The following is a 21683-nucleotide window of genomic DNA, read 5'->3' as shown; positions in this document are numbered from 1 at the left end:
CATTAAATTCTGTTTATGAGCTTAGGCTTTGACCATTTCATATGTAAATTAAAGGTATTGGACTAAAGGATTCCTAAAATTACATTATTCTATGAATGTGTTTCACAGAGCTAATCATTAATTTTCTGTCTCTTTTTAAGATAATTCTTTTGCAGATGGCTTTCTGTAGTGCTAGATTACATATAATTTTCTTTACAGAGGCACTGTTATGATTGAGCTGGGACATAATATTACTTATTCAAATACATAAATGTATTCAAAAATACATATGTGATAGAGATTTAGATTCATTTTCTTTACATTCAAAATGCTCTTATATTTCTAAAGTACTATAGGCTGTTGGCTTACTAGAGTATACTCTATATAAACCTAACTCTTCCTGGAAATAAGGTTAGTACGTCTTATGAAAAATAGTACTTAATCTTGTCAAAGTCACAGCTTGCCCTGCCACCTCCACTGTCTGTACTCAAACAGGTGATGGCTGAAATTCATTAATCCTGTCAGCAGCACTCAGGGTGCTCCCTTTTGCATCAGAATCCACCTGGCTCACAAGTCTGACACATTACTGAATTTGGAAAGATATTATATAAGTTGATTTGAAAGCAGTCAATATTATCCAATCTCTCATTATTTATCTATAGTCCACAGATTTTTGAGAGGCGTAATTAGTAAGATACCAAAAGATGAATTAGCAGTTCTTCTATTAGTTGTAGAGAGATATTCCAGGTATTCTTTCATTCAGTCATATTTTAGGATCTGGATAAATTTAAAAAATAAAATCATGAGTTTTGGCTTCCTTGAGGGTCTCCATTGGAATCAGGCAGAGACATCTTCATCTGCTATTGTTATTGCTTATCCAGTTATGTGCGGTGCCAGCTTGTAATTCCCACTGGCCAAGAATCAATGCACTGCATCTATTCTAGGTATCATGCCAGCTGTTCAAAGGATGGAATACATGATATATTAGCCAAGCAATGGTATGTTAAAAAAAGAACGGTTACTACAACAGCTTGGAAAAAGTGTTAAAACTGGTTTATCATGATAGTTCTAGTTTTTGAACAAAATATAATCTACCAAATGCAAATCAGGCTAGTCCTATGTTCAAAGCTCTTTAGCAAGTAGAGTTGCTGAGAGAATTTTGAATGAGTTATTATCCAGCTACAGAAGAGATTACAGTCAAGTAGCTTCAATGAAACTCATATTCAAAGAAATATGAGACAGTATTTTGTGATTCTATATAGAAAGTACTTAAAGAAATAATTTGTAACAGCAAAGTGAAGCCTCTGGATATCACACTGTGTCAGATGCCTGTAATTTAACACATTATGTAGGAAAGCATGTGTTTCAAATAATCTCTGATAAGAGAGAAACTTAAGCATCTCCTGTGTTTTAGTTATTGTATATTTGATTTTATTTATTTTGCATCATAGCATCAGTATAATAATGTCTTTGTACATCAGTAAACTGAAGGAAAACAGTGGAGAATCACTTTTTCTTGGAAAACTATCAAGAACCATCAACCCTAATTGCACCTTACTCCTCAAACCGTGAAAATAGGATGCTAACTGGAGACAGCTATGCATATCTAGTTGTTTTCTCATAATAGTAAATGAAGTATGCCTTTACATATCCATTATCTTTTTCTTCCAGAAGGACTTTTAATTCATTTTGTTCTGTAAAGAATATTTGTTAGAATATTAAATAATATTTACATATATTTATCATTCATATTCAAAAATTTTATTCTATAAAGTATCAAAGTTCAGCCCTTTGAAATGAACACTTTCATCAGTTTAGCACATGCCCTTGCTGGTCCAAATATAAATTCTTTTTAAAATCAAAGTAGAGTCTATATCTATAGATACATCTATATCTAGAAATAGATCTATATACTATCTAGACATAGATATGTATATCATGTATGCATATGTGTATATACATAGAGAGATAACATATGTAGCTCTATCTATATATGGATACCAATATATAGAGCTATCATATATAGCTATAGCTATAAATAGAGATATCAGTGATTGAAGGAATTTGAAAGTTTTCAAGGGAGTGAGAGTTTGTAGATACATGACTCAAAACAGGAGATTCCAATAGGAGTGAGCATGCTCTTTAAGGCAGATTTCCCCCTCAAACCACCATTTCTGAAATCAGATGCTATTAGGATGAGAAGCTGTCCAGAGACTGGAGCAGTTTCCAGTGGCTCGGAAGGCAAATATACTGTAATTCAGGGTTCACTAAGAATAATGTAATTTGTTACATAGCAGCAATAGAAAACTAACAAACCCAGTTATTATTAGGGTCTCTTAAGCACATTGCATACTCAGTAAATAGCAGCTGAATGAATGAGGAGCCTGGAATGAAGAATGAGACTCAACTAAGGATCTGAGGAATGGAAGTGTGCCGTGGCTCCGGGTCCAACATCTCCATGTATCAGTAGATATGAAACAAAAAAAAAAAGAACTCGTCTTCCTAAATAATGTTCTAGCTCAGGACTCATGCAGTCTGGCTGTGGTTCCCTTCTAAGGGAGCAGAACATAGTGGAGGGAGATCAGTTTCTCTATCTTCTTTCAAATAAAAAGACAAGGTCCGGGAAGGAGAGCAGGTGCATTGATCCAAGGGGCGCTGCTGGTCTCTCAGGCCAGCAGCGCACTGAGAGACAGGCTACAGCAAGTGCTGCATCCACCAAGCGGAGCCATGGGTGATGGTGTCAGAGGCAGCGTGGCAAAGGCTGTATGAGCAGCATCCCTGACTGGTCCAGACAATGCTAGAACTCAAAGACACCGACAGGCAAAGCAATCCTCTGACGGTTCTAAGCCCTGCAGTCTTCCGGTTTACTGGTGGGGCAGTACTGAGCAGGCAAAATGTGTGTCCAATGACTTTGTGATTTTATTGGTAGGAACGACATCTGTGGCCCCTTTTTACTTCTATAAAAAGGAAGAGGTGCGTTATGGATTGTATTATGTTCCCCCATATTAAAATCACTATGATTAATATAATTAAAAAACTCATAGGAAAGGTGAACAACGTGCCTAAAGAGATGGAAAAATATTATCAGAGGAAAAAAATTTTTTAAGGAAAAGAGTAAAATGGAAAAGCTAGATATAAAATTCTAAATAAAACACAATATCAAATACGACAAATATTTCTGTCAACTTAGTAGCAGACGAGATACAGCTAAATATGAATTAGTCAATTTAAAGATAGGTCAACAAATATTATCCAAATGTAAACAAAAAAAGTTAAGGCGAGACTTTTTTTAATGAAAAAATAGAAGAAAACAGTATCAAACAGCTCAGAGAAAATGACAAAGAATGTGACAGATGTATAATTAGAACATACTCCCCCCACCCCCCACCAAGGGAAATAAATGGAATGAACCATGAGTAATGAATAAAGAAGTAATAGCAGAACATTTCCAAAATAAATAAAAGACAACAAAGATAAAGTAAAAACAATCAGAAATGCAGCCAAAGAAAAAGAAAACACAACGTACAGATTAAAAATAAAATAATCACAGCTTAATGCTAATTTCAGATTACGCCAAGAAGTCAATGGAGCTGATATCTTGAAAGTATTGAAAATAAAACTAGCAACCAGTAATTCTTTACTCAGTGAAAACCTCCTTTACATAATTTGCAGAGACACTTCTAAGAAGAATTGAAATGAACACATAAAAACATGCTCAACATGGTTATTTTTACTTTACTTTTGATTTCTAAATTTTTTTTTTTTTTTTTTTTTAAGACGGAGTCGCTCTGTCACCCAAGCTGGTATACAGTGGCGCGATCTCGGCTCACTGCAAGCTCTGCCTCCCGGGTTCACGCCATTCTCCTGCCTCACCCTCCCGAGTAGCTGGGACTACAGGCACCTGCCACCATGCCCAGCTAATTTTTTCTATTTTTAGTAGAGACGGGGTTTCACTGTATTAGCCAGGATGATCTCAATCTCCTGACCTCGTGATCCATCCGCCTCAGCCTCCCAAAGTCCTGGGATTACAGGCGTGAGCCACCACGCCTGGCCTGATTTCTAAATTTTTAAATGATGTCTAGTTTTTTTCTTTTTGTAAATTTTTTCCTACTGTTCCTTTGGCTTGAGGATTTCTGAGCTTCTTGGATTTGCGGTTCGTTGCCTTTTATTTATTTTGAAAAATTTTTGGCTGTTTTGTCATATCTGATATTTTGTTTTATTTAGTAATCACAAAGAAAAAAAGGTCTTTATTTACAGGTAGTAAGTTCTTGTATATAGATAATTTTAACGAATCTGCCAAAAAAAGCTATTAGAACTCATAAGTAAATTTAGCAAGGCTGCAAGATGCAAGGTAAACATTCAATAATCATGTTCCCATAAATTAAAAAAAATTATTTTATAAAAACTATATTTAAAATACCTGCAAAAACATAAAACATTCAAGGATTTTTTAAAAATCAGAATATGTAAAGGCTATACACTGAAAACTAAATCAAACTGCTAAGAAAAATTTAAAAAGCCTAAATAAAGGCAGATAAATACCATGTTCATGGTTTGAAACCCTCAATAATTTTAACATTTTAAGTTTTTTATTCATTGCACTCGCAATCAAAACTCTGTTAGACTTATTTGTAGAAATTATCAAATGTATTATTTTCAAAGTATGTGGAATGAAAAAATAACCCAAGAAAAGGAGTTTGGGAGAAAAATAAAGCAAAGTTGGAGAATTTAAAATACTTGAATTCCAAAATAATTATAAAGTTTTAGTAATTAAAGCCTTGTGGTAAATTCGTATAAAGCAATAAAAAAAATCGAGTCTTAAAATAGATCCACATATGCATGATCAGCAGATTTTTTTAAGTGCCAAGCTCATTTAACGGAGTAAGGATAGTCTTCTCAACAAACAGTGTTGTACCAACTGGAAATCTATATAGGGAAAATACAAACTCTATTTGGCAAATGTAGGTAGCCAACAGAGACTTAAATATAAAAAGATAGTAGAATATGTATTGTGAATTGTTAGGAGAATACAAGAAAAAAAAAAAAGGAATGAAACTGAAATAAAACAAGAGCCACCTGACATTAAAATCTAGATTCTATCCTTGATACACCAAAGGAAGTTGGATAGAGCACTAAAATGTACCTCTTCAGTCGAAATTAAATATTCAACCTCAAAGTCAAGCTCTCAAATTTAAATGCTATCTAGCAAACCAATGTGGGTTAGAAGACTACATTTTGATGAACTCCCTTCGTTACATTTCTTCTCATCCATACAACTTTACTTGACTATTTTAGTCCTTTGCGTTGTTCCTCTATAACGGTTCAACACTTGAAATCTGTTGAGAAAAATGCAAGATACTACTCGAAAGCCTTTATTTCCAGAATATCCATGATCTTGTTCCCTTTCTCCTGGACATGAGCTGAACACCATAATTCCAGTAGGGACAAATAGGAAAGGGACAGTCTACACAACTTGGATTGATTCTGTTTGGTAAGTATGTATTAGCAGTTTTAGCCAATCTTTTTTTTTTTATTCCATTTTAATTTTAAAGTAAGTTTTAGGTCTTCTTTTTCAGCCAGGACATCTTCAATGGAAAGAGATTTTATTACAATTTTTTGAAACTCAGAGCCTGTTAAATTTTGTCTGTACTGTACGGGATTATTGATCCACTCGGTCAGTGTATTTTGCATTATATTCTAGCATCCATAATAGCACTTCCTACCAACTTCGTGTAGTTTATGTATCATATTACAAGTTTTGACAAAAATGGAAAGCAGTTCAAGGATTAAAACAGAACCCCCTGCTTACATAAGTGATTTTCCTCTAAATAAAAAATGACCCTTGAATCTACACTTTTTGCATATATTTGTTCAATCTGCTCTTTTAGCAACTCATATATATGTATTTTTCATTTGGTACACAAGGACATCATGAGGCATGGTGCTGAATGACTCAGTAAAATTAAGATAAATCATATCAGCAGCAGTATGGAAGTGTAAGTCACATAAATAATTCATACTGAAAATACTGCATTTTCTAATAGTTATTGTGGGATTTCCATAGTGAAATTCATATTATAAATATTAAAAGTGTTTCCATTTGCCTGGCTTTTGAAAACTTTGGGTAGTTTCCCTGACTTGTTACAGAACTATCCAAAGATACTAGAATTTTCTAATTATGTAACTTGGAATGAGCTGAAATTAATATGTGTTCAATTGTATGCACATTAGACAAATACTGAAAGGTTTTAGGTTTTAATTTTGTTATGAAATGTAAATAGCTGCCTTTAATACCTCCCAGGGATATGTTAATTGCTCTGTGGTAAACCTTGTAACCAGTTCTTCTTTTGTTTTGCCTCTTTTTCCAAACCCTTGTTCTGTTATTTTTAATAGAGTCTGGGTCTGAAGTCACTTCTAGGTTTTATTGGAAAGTGTCAACAATTTTACACTTTGGGCCTGAGTTTGTTTTTAAATAGTAATTTAATGTCTTTTGCTTCAAATAAATTGCTTCATATATTGTTGAGTCCTAAGATTGATTCTTGTTTTTCGTATTCATCAGCTACATTTTCATAACTGTAAGAATCTAGAACCACACTGTCAAATATGGTGGTCATTTAAACTAGTTAAATTTAAACTAGTTAAGATTAAATATTTAAATTTAAACTAGTTAAGATTAACTAAATTTAAAAATTCAGTCTCTAAGTTGTACTAGTCATATGTGAATAGTAGTCACTATATTGAAGATAATATTTACATTGACATAGAAAGTAATATTATAGGCCGGGTGTGCAGGCTCATGTCTGTAATCCCAGCACTTTGGGAGGGTGAGGCAGGTGAATCACATGAGGTCAGGAGTTCAAGACCAGCATGGCCAACATGGTGAAACTCCGTCTCTACTAAAAATACAAAAATTAGCTGGGCGGGGTGGCACATGCTTGTAATCCCAGCTACTTGGGAGGCTGAGGTAGGCGAATCACTTGAACCCAGGAAGTAGAGGTTGCAGTCAGCAAAGATCATGCCATTGCACTCCAGCCTTGGCAACAAGAGCAAAACTCTATCTCAAAAAATAAATAAATAAATAAAGTAATATTATACAGCACTGATAGTACATTCTGATATGTAGGAATGAATGGACTCAACTCCCATCTTATTTAATCATAAATTAATTGTATCAAATTTTTACCATTGGAGATACAATAGTCCCCTGCCCACTTATTTGAGGGTAATATATTCTAAGACCCCAGTGTATGCCTGAAACTGCAGATAGTACCAAATCCTAGATACACTATGATTTTCCTACACAATAATACACACAGTAAAATTTTCATCATGCTCCTCAGAACGGTGTGCCGTTTAAAACCTATGAATGTTTTTATTTCTTACATTTTTCATGTAATGTTTTTGGGCTATGGTTAAGTATGGTTAACTGAAACTGTGCAAAGCAAAACTGTAGATAAGGGGGTGGAGGACTGCTGCATATTTTTTATCTTCAGTCCTATCCTCTACATAATGCAATGAATGGTATGAAAGCAGAACTGGTTTCAAGTCAATATCTCCCACCTCTATAGTCCCTTAACCTGTCTGAGCATGACTTTTCTTTAAAGAATTAATATTATCTGCCCTGCCTATCTCAAAGGGCTCCCAACATGCCCCTAGTGTGCTGAATCACAAATAATAAGGAACAGTGATGCAGAACTGAAAGCTGGAAACAGGTAGACCTGGCACTAGACATACTGCAGGACCCACCAGGGTACTGACTCACAAAGCAGTTAGTTAACAGTACCACTTGACTTTCCACCTGGACCTGGCAAGTTCTTGATTTGTTATAGAATTTCTTCCTCAAAATGCCTGATCCTTTTCACTAAATAGGCCTCTCCAAGAAGAATAAATATGGCATTGTGATCTTGAGTGATCCATCTCTTTGGAGTAGACTCCACTTCATGCCTACGTGAAAGAAAAAGGGAAATCACAGAGTGTTGGAGCCATGCTCAAGTGCATCACTGCAAAGCAGCCCTCCTATTTTGTGGTGAGTCCTAACAGTGCAAGTCAGAAATTCACTCAAACCAGGAGCGATGGCTCATGCCCGTAATCCCAGCACTTTGGGAGGCTGAGGCGGGTGCATCACCTGAGGTCAGCAGTTCAAGACCAGCCTGACCAACGTGGTGAAACCTTGTCTCTACCCAAAATACAAAATTAGCCAGGAGTGGTGGCGCATGCCTGTAATCCCAGCTACTTGGGAGGCTGAGGCAGGAGAATCGCTTGAATCCTGGAGGCAGAGGTTGCAGTGAGCCAAGATCAGCCATTGCACTCTGGCCTGGGCAACAAGAGTAAAATTCCATTTCAAAAAAAAAAAAATAGAAAGAAAGAAAAGATAGAAATTCAGCCATGCAAATATCCAGAGAAAGTCAAAAATAGCTAGAAGAGGGGATGGCATTTCTGGAGACATGCAGTTCCCAGAATTACTCAGGCACATCAAGTTTGTTTCTCAAATGAAAGACGAGTTCACACTACTCCACCAAAGGTGGGTTTATCCTCATGATATAACACCAAATTGGTCAGAAGTGACTCAAAAACAAGGATGGGTTTAGGATATAGCAGAATAAGAAGTGTACTTCTACTTATACATTGGGGAAGCCATGGACTCACAAAGAAAATGTGAGCAATACTCTCAAGAAGTAAACTGTTATGTGAGGTTGTGTCCTAACTTCAGCCCAAGTATAATTTGAGGATCTCCCATCATTTTTGCTAGCATCAGGAGGCAACAGAGACCTAGAACACAGACTAGCATCAATGACCAGGTAGAACTCCGACCTCTTGATACTTCTCAACTGTGACTTCAGACAAATTTCCTTTTCTTTCAGTGACTCAATTTACTCAGCTGTACAATGGAGAAGATAGCTATAGCTCTTATTATAGGATTGCTGTGAGAAATAATGAGTTAAATGCTTAAAATGATATATGGTTGGGTTGTGCATGCTCCACTTTTCCTCTAAAATACAGGATTTTAATTTGCTGAGCATTTACTATGTGTAAGGCATTGTGCCAGAAACTGGTCATATCTGGTTGACTAAACCAGACAGAACACAAAGACTTAGGCAGCTTAGATTCTAGTGACATAAATAGATGACCTATTGCAAATCTGTGTGGCATGGGGGCTCTTCAGGTGAAGAGCAATTATGTTTCTTTCTTATCAATTGTATGAGAAAAGCAAGTTAACAAAGACTAAAGAATAAAAACATTTTCCAAACAAATAGTTATATGGAGTCATGTTGAATTAGGTTTTTTTCTTTGATTGTGTCCTTTTTTACAACTTTTTCCACTTTAGAGACAAGATTTTATGAAAAATATTTTATGGAAAACAATTGGAGAGGCAGAAAGTCTAACCAACATTATATACAAATAACATAAATGCTGATCCGTAACTGTCATTTTTCTTCACCACACTAAAGCACAGATGCGGAAACACCTCATTGTGTTTGTTTTTTTTTAAATCAGGAACAAAATATATTTATAGTTCTTGCTAACAGTAATTTAGTAAATAGCCATTGCATTTCTATTTCCTACTGGAAAGTTTAGTTTGGCACTGTGGATCCCAACTAAGTGATTCAAATGTAATACTTACACTTCAATAAAGGAAACAAATAAATTTACTAAGAGAGAAAAAGTGTTGTAAGGAGAAAAATGGTAGAGTAAGTTATTAACTGTATCACACTGGAAGAAATAGTGGAAGTGTCAGTATAAGTTCAGTAGAACAATAGGGAGGGGATACGAGTAGATGTACGAGTTCTGAACAAGGCATGAGGATATGAGAGCTTATGGTAGGATATGAGGATAAGAGAGCTCATGGCATATTCCGGGATCTGTGGAAATGCAATAAGCTTTGGAGACACAGATCCGTTTTGGAGAAACAGTGCTCAGCCTTGATGGCTCCAGGTATCAGGGGAGGCAATCTGGAAATCTACATTTTTATGAAACAACTCATCTGATTCTTATGGATAATAAATACATCTTGCTCTAAAAAGCATGAGGCATGTGAGAACCAAGATGGATAAAGAAATAGGAAGATAAATCAAAATTAATTTTGAATGACTCTTGATACCATCCTGGGAAGATTGGAGTTCAATCCCAAAGCAGGAGGGTGTCATAACAAATCTTTCAGAACTAAAATCACACACAAAATATAGTTTTTAAAAAGTACTCATTTGAATGTGGAGAGTGCACTGAAATTTGTGAGTTCCATCAGGAGTAGATTGGGGCAGATCGGGTGGAAGTTATTTAGAGCTTAGATTAGCTTGGTAACAATAGAAATGGAGAGAAGAGTTTATCTATTAGAATAAGACAGAAGGTGACTTTTGTTGGCTTAAATTGTAGGGGAATAGATTGAAAGTGTTTGGTTGTCCATAGTGGAGGTGACCCTACATTTTGTTCATTTATATGGATACAGATGCTCCTCAACTTACAATGGGGCTATGTCCCAATAAACCCATCATATTGGCCGGGTGTGGTGGCTCATGCCTGTAATCCCAGCAGTTTGGGAGGCCAAGATGGGTGGATTGCTTGACCTCAGGAGTTCAAGATTAGCCTGGACGACATGGTGAAATCCTGTCTCTACAAAAAATATAAAAATTAGCCAGGTGTGTTGGTGTGTGCCTGTGGTCCCAGCTACTCAGGAGGCTGAGATGGAAGGATCACTTGAGGCCAGGAGGTGGAGGCTGCAGTGAGCTGAGATGGGGTCACTGTACTGTAGCCTGGGTGACAGAGCAAGACCTTGTTTCAAAAAAAAAAAAAAAAAGTCCTAAGTTGAAAATATTGTAAGTTAAAAGTGCCCTTAGTACACTTAACCCACTGAACATTACAGCTTAGCCGAGCCTATCTTATTAACATGCTCATGACACTTACGTTAGCCTGCAGGTGGGCAAAATCATCTAACACAAAGCCTGCTTTATAATAAAGTGTTGAATAAATTACATAAATAATTTACATAATTCTGCACTGAAAGTGAAAAACAGGATGGTTGTATGGGTACTCAAAATACAATTTCTACTAAATGCATGTCTCTTCTACATCACCATGAAGCCCAAAAATCTTAAGTTGAACTATCGTAATTCAGAAGCTGTCCATATTTAGTGATTGACACAGGAAATATATCCATGTGTGTTTGCATTAATTAACAAGAAATTCATTACTTGATGTTTAATCAAAAAATACCTAGGACATATTTTCTAAAATGATTTTCAAAAAATTATGTTTGTGGGTTTTTATACATACACATGTGTGCACACGTGTGTCTAAATATGCAAATATATATATACACACATATGTATGGCAAAAAATCATTTAGAATTTTAATTAAAAAGATAATTTTACTACGTGACATTTTAGGATCTATAATATGCTGATATCCTTTATAGCGCTCCAAAAAATTGAACATTTATGATATTTTCCAAATATTTTGAATCTAAAATCTCCTTGCATCATGTGATCCACTGCAACCCACCTTGGGCAGCACTTAATCAGAATGACAAACTAATTTTTTTATGAACTTCTTTTATTATTGAGAACTTTCAAAGAAATGCACAATAATTCATTCATTAAACAATGAGTTTAACACATATATATTTTATACCTATTTTCTTCCAGGTGTTATTACATTATCTGGAGGTATAGTAGTAAAGAAAACAAAATAGCATATGACAAAGCAACTGGGAAATTTAACTGGAAGCAGATCGACCACTGTTTGTGTTTCTCTAATTCAAATTTAGGGGACTTGGATTATGATTATTCAGGTAATCCTCAAAGAGTAAATCCAATGAAAGAATTTCTTAATAATAAATGCGTGATAAAAACATTTTAATCTCTTGTGACTGAGCAATTCACTCACTTCTTCCCACATGCGAAGATGATATTAGCATAGTGTAAGGAAATGTTGTGATTTTCCAAATAGTAAACAACCTGCAATGATTTACGCATCTGTAAATTAAACAATTTAAAAAATCAAACTTACCATGTAATATAGTGCTATGAAGTTAAAAAAGATCATTTTTTAAACTCTGACTACTATAACTTGTCCTGTGCTGGTGTATAAATAGAAAAGAGAGACAGCTAGGTCAATTATTAAAATAAAGAAAAAGACTAAGTGTCATAGGAGAAAGAAAATAAAGTGCAATGGGATGGCTGGTTCAAGACAAGGCAGTAAGCCAAAAGAAACAGAAACCTCGTAGATATTAGAGATATTCAAAGAAATGTATATAAAAACATATATTTATTGTTGAGCAAGTGATATGAGCTAAAGAAGAAATAAAATCAACTAATAAATGTGAAAATAGGCTTAATCTTACTTCTTAATAAAAATAAATCTGAAACAAAACAGTCAGAGTCCAGAGAAATGCAAATATTGCAGAGTTGTATTAGTTGGGGGTCTCTAGAGAAACAGAGATGGTGAGAGCTATATTACACAAATTGACTCCCATGATCATATATTTATATGATTTTGGAGGCCAAGAGGTACTATAACATGTTGTCTGCAAGCTGGAGACCCAGGAAAGCTGGTGATGTAATTCAGTCTGAGGCCAAAGGCCTAAGAACTGAGGGGCACCTGTGGTTTAAGTCTGTGATTCTGATATCACTAGTAGGAGCTTCAGTGTCTGAGCGCAGAAGAGGAGCAGAGCTCAAGGAGAAAGAATTCGCCCATCCTCCCTCTGCTTTTTGATTCTATTTGGGCCCTCAATGGATTGGATGCTTTCCACCCACACTGGTGAGGGCGAATCTTCTTTACTCAGCCTCCTCATTCAAATGCTCATCTCTTCCAGAAAAACCCCCACAGAATCATACAGAAATAATGTTTTACAAGACATCTGTGCATTCCTTAGCCCAGTCAAGTTGACACATAAAATTAACAATCTCAGAGTTTAATTTGGAAAGATGTTTCAAGAATTAGAAAAATTATCCAGTACTTTGATCCAACAACCCTGTGACATTAGGGTATGCTACTTGCTCCCCAGCTTCTATTCTCCCCTTCACTTGCCCAAACACTACCAGCACCCCAGTTTAAACTGTGGCCACCCATCCAGAGACTGCATTCCTGTGGCTGCATGAGACCATAAAACTAAATTCTGGCCAGTTGGCTGGGAATGGAAATGGCATATGAAATTTAAGGAACAAACTCTTTGAAAAGAAAGATTTGTGTCCTTCATTCCTTCTTTCCCTGTAGCTTGATGACAAATAAAGCAGCCAACATGGACATAGAGAAGGAAAACTTGGATTATCTCACCTACCTTAGTCTCCCTGAGACTGCTCTATTATCTGAGAGAGAAATGAATGTTTAATTCATATAAGCCACTTGTATTTTGTGCATTTTTTACATAAATTTAATCAATACCCTAACTAATGCAACTTCCTTGAAGGTTGAAGAATATATTGAAAGAAAAAAAATAATTAAAAGTATTGACAACAGCATTAGTATAATAGTAAAATTTGGGGAACTGGGAAAGTTGAGTCAAATAATAAAAGAACAGTGAAAAATTACATTATTTCCGTATAATAAAACATTAAAAAGTTGAGATTTTTAACATTGAAAACATAATTACATAATTAAATGCTCAGCATAATATAAAGGGTAATTCAAATAAAACTATACAAAATACGTTCTCATTTAACCTTGTTCAAAGGTTCTTGGAAACTGGGACTTTACACAAACTGATGTATAACAAAACCAATTTTTTTCTCATAGTTGTTAGAACAAAGCAATGTTGAAGGAAACAATGTTATTTGCGGACCTGCTGTACATCTTTCACTTAAAGTCACACTTTCTAAGAACCTATGGTCAACATTAAATGAGGACTTACTGTACTCATTATAATCCATACTTTATAAAAGAATCATGCATGCACTTTACAAATGATTTATAAGATTGGAAGATAATCTACTATCTGAGTCTATGTCTACTGCTATAAAAAATACCTTAAACTGTATTATTTATAAACAACAGAAATGTATTGCTTAGAGTTCTGGAGGCTGGAAATTCCAAAATCAAGCTGCCAGCAGATGTGGTATCTGTGAAGGCTGGCTCCTCATAGGTGCTGCCTTCTTGCTGTGTCCCTTGCATGGCAGAAATGAAGATGGGCCAAGTAGGCTCCCTTAAGCCTTTTATGAGCCACTAAGGTATTTGTAAGGTGCTTATAAAGGTGTGCAGAGCCCTCATGACCTAATCACCTCCTAAATGTCCCATCTTTTAATACTATGGCATTGAGTATTAGGTTACAACATATGAATTTCCAGGGAACACCAACTTTTAGACCATAGCATTCTGTCCCTGGACCCCCAAAATTTATGTCCTTCTCACATGCAAAATACATTCATTTTATCCGATTAGCCCAAAAAGTCTTAACCTGTTCCAGCACCAACCACAGGTTTAAAGTTCAAAATCTCATTTAAATCAGATATGGGTGAAATTCATGATGTAATTCATTCTGAGGCAAATCCTCCTCCAGCTGTGCGTCTGTGAAAGCAAGTACATTATGTGCTTCCAAAATGGTGGGACAGGCATAGAATAAATATTTTCATTCCAAAGGGAAAAAATAGGAAGAAAGAAAGGGATAACTAGCCCTAAGCAATTCCAAAATCTAATATAGTGAACAACATTAAATCTTAAAGCTTGAGAATAACCTTCTTTGCTGATGTGTGCCACCTTTAGGACTCATTGCGGAAGGGTAGGCCCCCAAGGCTGTAGGAAGTCACACCCCATGGCTCCACTGGACACTGTCCTAGAGTGGACTCTCTGCAGTGGTCTTGCCCCCAGGGCTCCAGTGGGAAATACCCTAGCAGGGAATCTCTGTAGTAGCCCAGGTGCTGTGGCCTTTCTCTGCCTGGGCCCTGAGGCTCTGTGGGATATCCTTTGAAATGTACGTGGAGGCAGCTGTGCCCCTACAGCTGTGCACTCTACACACCGGTGGAGAAGGCATCTTGCAGCCACTGCCAAGGTTTATCACCTATGCTCTCTTGAAGGGCTGCCACTGCACACTGTGCTGCACCTGGGCCCACAGCAGCTACATGTGGGGCAAGAGAGAAGTGCTGCCCTGGAATTCCATAAGCAGAGGCTTGGGTGAGGTCCCCAGGGCCGAAGTTCCTCTTTTGACATTGCCCTGTTCCCTAGACCTTGACCCTCTGGGCCTATGATGGAAATGGCAGTGCTGATAATCTCCAAAATGCCTTTGGGGTCATTCTTTCCCATTTTATTGATGAATAACACCTGGCTTCCAATGATCCATGCTAATCTCCTTGTCAAATGATTGCTTGGCCACACCTTTGGTGTTCTCCACCAAACACACTTTTTCACCCTTTACAACATGGCCAGGCTAAGAATTTTCTTAATCTTTAAATTAAGATTTAAAGATTAATCTTATGGTTATAAGTTTCATCCGTATTTCTGTCTTCTCACATTTTACCATAAGCAGTAAGAGAAGCCATGCTGCACCGTCAACATTTTGCTTAAATATTTCATCCACCAAATAACTGATTTCATGGCTCATCAGTTTCTCCTTCCACAAAACACTAGAACACAGACACAATTAAGCCAAGTATTTTGCCACTTTATAAAGGGGACCTTTCCTCCAGTTTCCTATAACATGTTCTTTATTTATCTCATCAGAATGGCCTTTACCATCCATATCTTTACCAACATCCTGATCAGGACCACTTAGGTAATCTCTAAGAAGACTTAACCTGTCTTTACACGAGGGGGTCCAATATGTTGGCTTCCCTGGGCCACATTGGAAGAAAAAGAATTGTCTTGAGCCACACATGAAATACGCTAGACACTAACGATAGCTGATTAGCTAAAAATAAATTGCAAAAAAAATTTCATAATATTTCTGAAAGTTTACAAATTTGTCTTGGGCCACATTCAAAGCCATCCTGGGCCACATGTGGCCAGCAGGCCATGCATTGGACAAGCTTGTTCTACACCCTCATCTTCTTCTGAGCTCCCACGAGAATCATCCTTTATAGTTTCTTCACAACAATATGGGCTTGTCCCAGCATGCACTTCAAAACTCTTCCAGTATCTACCTATTACCCAACTCTGAAGCCACTTCCACATTTTTAGGTACATATTACAGCAGCACCCCACTCTTGGTACCAATTTCTATCATAGTCTGTTCCTGCTGCTGTAACAAAATACCTTAGACTGTATAATTTATAAACAACAGAAATGTATTGCTCACAGTTCTGGAGGCTAGTAAGTTCAAGATTAAGGCACTAGCTGATTTGGTGTCTGGTGAGGGCCTGTTCCTCACCAGCACCTTGCTTCTGCGTCCTCATATGAATGGGAGAGAAGAGGGGTGTGAAGGCTGTGTCATGTAATGAAAGGAAGGGGAAGGAGCAAGCAGGTTCCCTCAAGCTTTTTATAAGGAACACTAATTCCATTTGTGAGGGCAGAGCCCTCATGACCAAATTACCAAACGACCCATCTCTTAATACTACTGCATGGAGTAGCAGGTTCCAACATATGAGCCTTAGGGGGACAAAAACATTCAGCTATAGAACCTGCCAAAATATTAAAATGGATTAGGTGGAGGTGATGGGACATTGGGATCTTTATCTTTCCATTCATTCTTCTCTTTATTTTCTATATTTCTTTGAATAAACTTGCATTTTTTTACAATAAGTAATGTAATTCTTACAGTCTTTCTCTATGTCCTGTAGTTAATAAAATACAAAGGATACAAATAATATGCCGAAGAGCTAGCCCAGTGGAGCCAGTTAAGGGAGTGAACTATTTTTGTTTAGTTAAATATCAGAATTGGCCATGAGCTGGATGCACTGGGATTGAGAGGAAGAGAAATTGAAACTGCTGTGCATAATAACTGGCCAGGACATGGTGGATTTGGGAGTTGACAGGTCTTGGGAAGTAACAGGGGGAGATCCAAAAAGGAAGAAATGGGAATTAGCCACATGGTGGGAGGCTGGGTCTGTAATGAGGAGCAATGAGCAACTTACTTCAAGCATGAAGCAAAAAAGACATCTGGGATGCAGGGCCCATTATTACTTGCCATGGTTGTGCTGAGCTGCAGTGCATACCAGCCCATCCCAAGCCAGCTCACCTCTCACCATGGCACTGGTGACACTTCAGCCACTGCAATGGTGTTCTGCTGCCGATGACTCATGAAAAATGGTCAGCATATACAGGAGATGAAATGCAAATTCCATATACGCAGAAAATCAGAAACACAGATGGCTAGGAGAAATTCAAATTCTTCCACTCCCCCATCCACTGTCAGCCCCTGCCTGTAATCATGCAAAAATGAGAAGGATTTTCCTCTCTCCATCAGAGGATAATGGCGGGCTACTTGTAAAGAATAGGCATGGGGCTTACCTACCTTTTAAAGTATGCACCGACCCTGCAAAATGGATTTGGAGACCATCAAGAGATTGGTATGTCAAAAACAGTTCTTATAAATATATCCTCAGCACCAACTATGAATTAGGTCTTGTGCCAAGGACCACAGTCACAAAACGGAAGTGTAAAACATTTTCTCTGAACAAGTTACTTACAGACTAGCAAAGCCAATAAACACTACATTCTGAAAATGATTAGAACACATTTAAGTGCTCTGCTTCCACATATAAAGAATGGCTTTTCAGTTGCAGAGGCAAATCTGTAGTACTACCCACCTGGAAACAGGGACAAAAGTATTTTAAATGCAGCAGAGTACCAGTTACATGAGCTGACTTCAGAATATATTTCTTGAAAGTCTTAAAATGTAATTTCTTTTCTTAAGGTTACCTACACCTTTCTCTTAATTTAGCTTTCTTTTTGCCACGTCTGGTAATTTGCTCACATGCTGAATTTCTGCTAGAAATATCAGTCTATTCTGTAATTTTCTATTACACAAGCTGGAGTTGGGGGCTCTTTTACACATTCCCTGCAAGCTACAGATGCAAATTACATCCTCCTCTCCACCAAGGTTCTGTGGAGCTCATTGTCACTTGGGAGGCTGGAGCTGAGGAGCCACCTCAGGCTCTCCTGGGCACCTAGCTCAGAGGATGCACCATCCAGGGCCTCTGGAAAGAAGGGGAGGACACTGAGCATTCAGGGCAGCAGTAACACTTAGTCTATTTGATTGCAGCCGTCAACCCTGTGGCAGGTTTCAAATGGAAGGAGACTGATGGTAAGGATAAGGAGGACTACTTCAAATGGAAAGTCTCTTTTCATTAAAAGGTAGTACAGTGTGCAGAAGGGCCGAGCAGCAAAGGGTACTCTCGACTGGTTTAATGTGCACATCATCTATTACTCTGCTTCCTTCATTCCTAGATGGTAATAAGAAGAGAAAATGGCATCGATGAAGCAATCCTTCCCATGATAATAGAAATGGTATCTGAGAATGGTTATAAGATTCACTTTCTCGATAGGGAATAGGGAGACACATTTTGTTATTCTTATTTTACTAAAATGATGTAACATTTTAACCTGTAGTAACTTTTTTAAGTTTGGATAAAATACTTGTTCTATATTAAATTTGCAGAGTAAGAGTGAGTTAATTAATATAATCAGAGACAGAGAGAGAGAGAGAGCACCGCCAGCTCTTATTACTCAGGGGCCAGCTAAGTCAGGAAAAAAGTTTCTAATAAAATTCAATCAAATGTTGCATTCACTAGTTAATTACCTAAAAATAGAGTTTCTGAGATGAAAAATCGGGCTGTTTCAATGAAATTTAGCTTCACAGAGAGACAAAAAAAGACTAAAAATAGAAGAATAAAAAAGAAAAAGTTATTTTTTCTAAACATTGTGACAGTATCAGCTCAGGGGTTAGATCCAGACAGGGAGTCTTTACAGCTCTAATCAGCTTGCTACCAATTGCTGCATTTAAGTATTTCTATATTTTTTAGGAATTATTATTGAGAAGTAAAGATATTGATAATTTTTCTGGGTATTTACAAAAAGTTCTCCTCTGACGCAGAATATCAGTGTGTCTGGATCCACCGTGATGTGCCTCCAGCTCATTACAAGTCATTAACTTATAAAAACAAATATTTGGGAATAATTGCTGTATTTTCCTATACATTAGAGCATATTCAAATTTTAAAATTATCTCACACACATGCTGAGAAACTTCCTGAAATGGGAGAAAACAGGTAAAGTCAGTCCCAAGGTAGCCAGGAATTGCCCAGAGCCACCCCCGTCGCACCCCTGACCCTCCCTAGCTGACATTGTTTATCATTCCACATGTGATACGGACCAAAGGCTTCCTCACAAGTGCTGCTGAAGGAAGAATAGAAGCTGTTATTGCATGTAATTTATTTGTTTTGATACTGATTCTTTCCGAATTCTTTTCCCTGCATTCATCTGTAGTGACCACATGGGAAAGCTCTCTGCAACGGGAAAGAGTCATATCCTAAACTTCACACTTTCTAGCAATCTAGGACACATAAAGAGGTTGCTAAATGGAAAGCCTCTCATTGCTGAAATCCATAGGACATACAAATATTTATTGAGTGTGTGATATGCAATGTGTGTTATACAATCTGCTAAGCCCTGGGTGTACATCAATTTTAGCCAAAAAGGTGATCCCTGGCACTTGCAACACTTTTTGTGTTGTAGTGGAGACAGACTAAAACAAGCAGGCAGACAAAAATAAAAGTATAGCCCAATTAATACATTAGCACACATTCTGATAAGTGTTAACAGAGGAACACAATGGATATGAAGAAGGGAAGGAATTTAGTGGCTTGGGCAGGCTTCTCCAGAAAGTGACTCTTTATAAAGCGTGAGTTGTCTGTGAGACAATCAAAGGGAGATTGTCAAGTAGAGAACTGAATTGAACACACAACTATGGAATCCTCGACATATAAATATTGACACAAAGTCATATGAATATGACCACCAAGAGATTAAAAAATAAAAACGGCAGAGAATAAGACCATGATTAAGCTCTATGAAATTTTATCGGTATACGACAGGTAGAGAAATTAGAATTGGCAGGCAAGAATGAGATAAGAACACCGAGAACAGTAAAAGTAAAAATAGGGGACTGTGATTTCATGAAAGCCAAGATAAGATTGGGTTTCTGAGCGGGAGGACTGCTCAGATCAATTCGGCCAAGAGAACAAATTAAAGTTGGTCAGACCACACCATTTCATTGGGTCACATGACATTGCAGTGATCCTAACAAGAATGGTATCAGTGGATGTGTGTGTGTGTGTGTGTGTGTGTGTTTGGGAGTTGATGGGATGAGGGTTGAGTAGAGAAAGTAAGCATAGAAAATCATTTCTGGATGTTTAATTGTGAAAAGGTACAAAACAATGGATCGTGGCTGCATATGGACTTGGTCAGAGGGAAGAAACATTATTTAAGTTGGAACATGCCACAACTTATCTATATGATAGTAATGATTCCACAGAGATGTAGAAACTGATGATGTCAGAAATACAGGGGTACACTGAAGCTGGGAAGCCCTTTGGGAGTTTGTGGAGATGAGGGTGCGGCACAGCTGCAGGGTTGGATCTCATGTAAGAGGAGTGATGCCTCGCTTAAGGAGTGGCTGAAAGGAAAAGCTCAGTGCAGAGGCTGAGGCCATGCCATTTTATAGGTGGAAATATGAGAGTTTTCATCTGGAGGCTGCTATTTGTCTACTGAACTTGTTGGGTTCTGTTGGATGTAAGTTTTGAGGCTTGAAGATGTAGTGAGAGACGGTCATTGCAGCATATGGGGGCACAAAAATTTGAAGCTTATTGGATGTTTGGTGAGTGGAGTTGAGTTCCCACTTCAGATTAGGGGTCATAAATTACAGCCATATTCATGTGCATAAATGCTGAGTTTTCTTCACAATGATATATATGCCAAAAAAGCGAATGTTTGGTTTTATCAGTAGGAGAAAATCTTTACAAGACAAAAAGTAAACAATAAAAAAAGGTCTGACAGGAATCTTGCAATTAACCAAAAAGTCAACATCTACATTTTACAGTCAAGAATAAAATAGAGATATTTTATTTTAAAAGACAAAATAGTAAAAAATAAAAAATGACTGACAGGAATCTTGCAATTAAGTGAAAAATCAAAATACCTTTTGCAGACAAAGAATAAAATCAGTATTTTGCAGAAGTTTGCACATCCAATGAATGGCAGAAGTGCAGCTAGAGCCTAGCTTCAATCTTGCTTTGGGTGCACTGTTCATTTCAGGGACAGGGAGAGGGTCTTATCTATAAAGGAATGGGAGAGAAACAGGGAAACAATATCAGTCATACCTAGTTGTTTGTGGAAAAAATAAACATTGGATGGAGACACAAAGAGGAAAATCAGTGGAAAACTTGAGGCATTTTCTCATAAAACTGAATGAATGGGTCAAAAAGAAGCTGATTTTTAAGATGATTGAAGTAAGTTAAGAAACGAGCCCTTTCTATAGACCGGACTAGCATGTAGCTGAAAGTTTTTTTCCCCGTGACAGGTCTCATGTAAATTCATCTTTCCCCTTATAAGTTGAGCTGAAATAGCAATAGCTGGAATAGCAGTGGGGTGCAAAGTTTGATAGTTTTTTTCCACTGGATGAACAGAAGAGATTCAGAGAGATTTTACGCACCACGTTTATTCTAAGTATCTCTGGAGCTGAAGTCCACCCAGATATTTATGCTTCTAAATTCTACTTCAGGAGAAGGCAGAGTAAGTCTGTGGCTTTTAGATATGAGGCCTAAAGTTAACTGATTAGGAATGG

The 21683-nt window shown here is 37.1% G+C and overlaps 1 long non-coding RNA gene across 1 annotated transcript in view; it reads right to left on the bottom strand.

The window, feature by feature from the left end:
* The window catches only part of LOC107986667 (uncharacterized), a 90129-nt gene extending 68842 nt beyond the window's left edge, over nucleotides 1–21287 (bottom strand). The window contains exon 1 of the long non-coding RNA XR_001744460.3: nucleotides 21039–21287. This is a non-coding gene — a long non-coding RNA (uncharacterized LOC107986667). The remainder of the gene's footprint in view (nucleotides 1–21038) is intronic.
* Nucleotides 21288–21683: the final 396 nt, after the last annotated feature.

The sequence above is a fragment of the Homo sapiens genome, chromosome 6 (genome assembly GCF_000001405.40).
Source record: "Homo sapiens chromosome 6, GRCh38.p14 Primary Assembly".
Classification (NCBI taxonomy): domain Eukaryota; kingdom Metazoa; phylum Chordata; class Mammalia; order Primates; family Hominidae; genus Homo; species Homo sapiens.
Note: the sequence above shows the minus strand (reverse complement) of the source record. Positions and strands in the feature narration are given on the sequence as shown.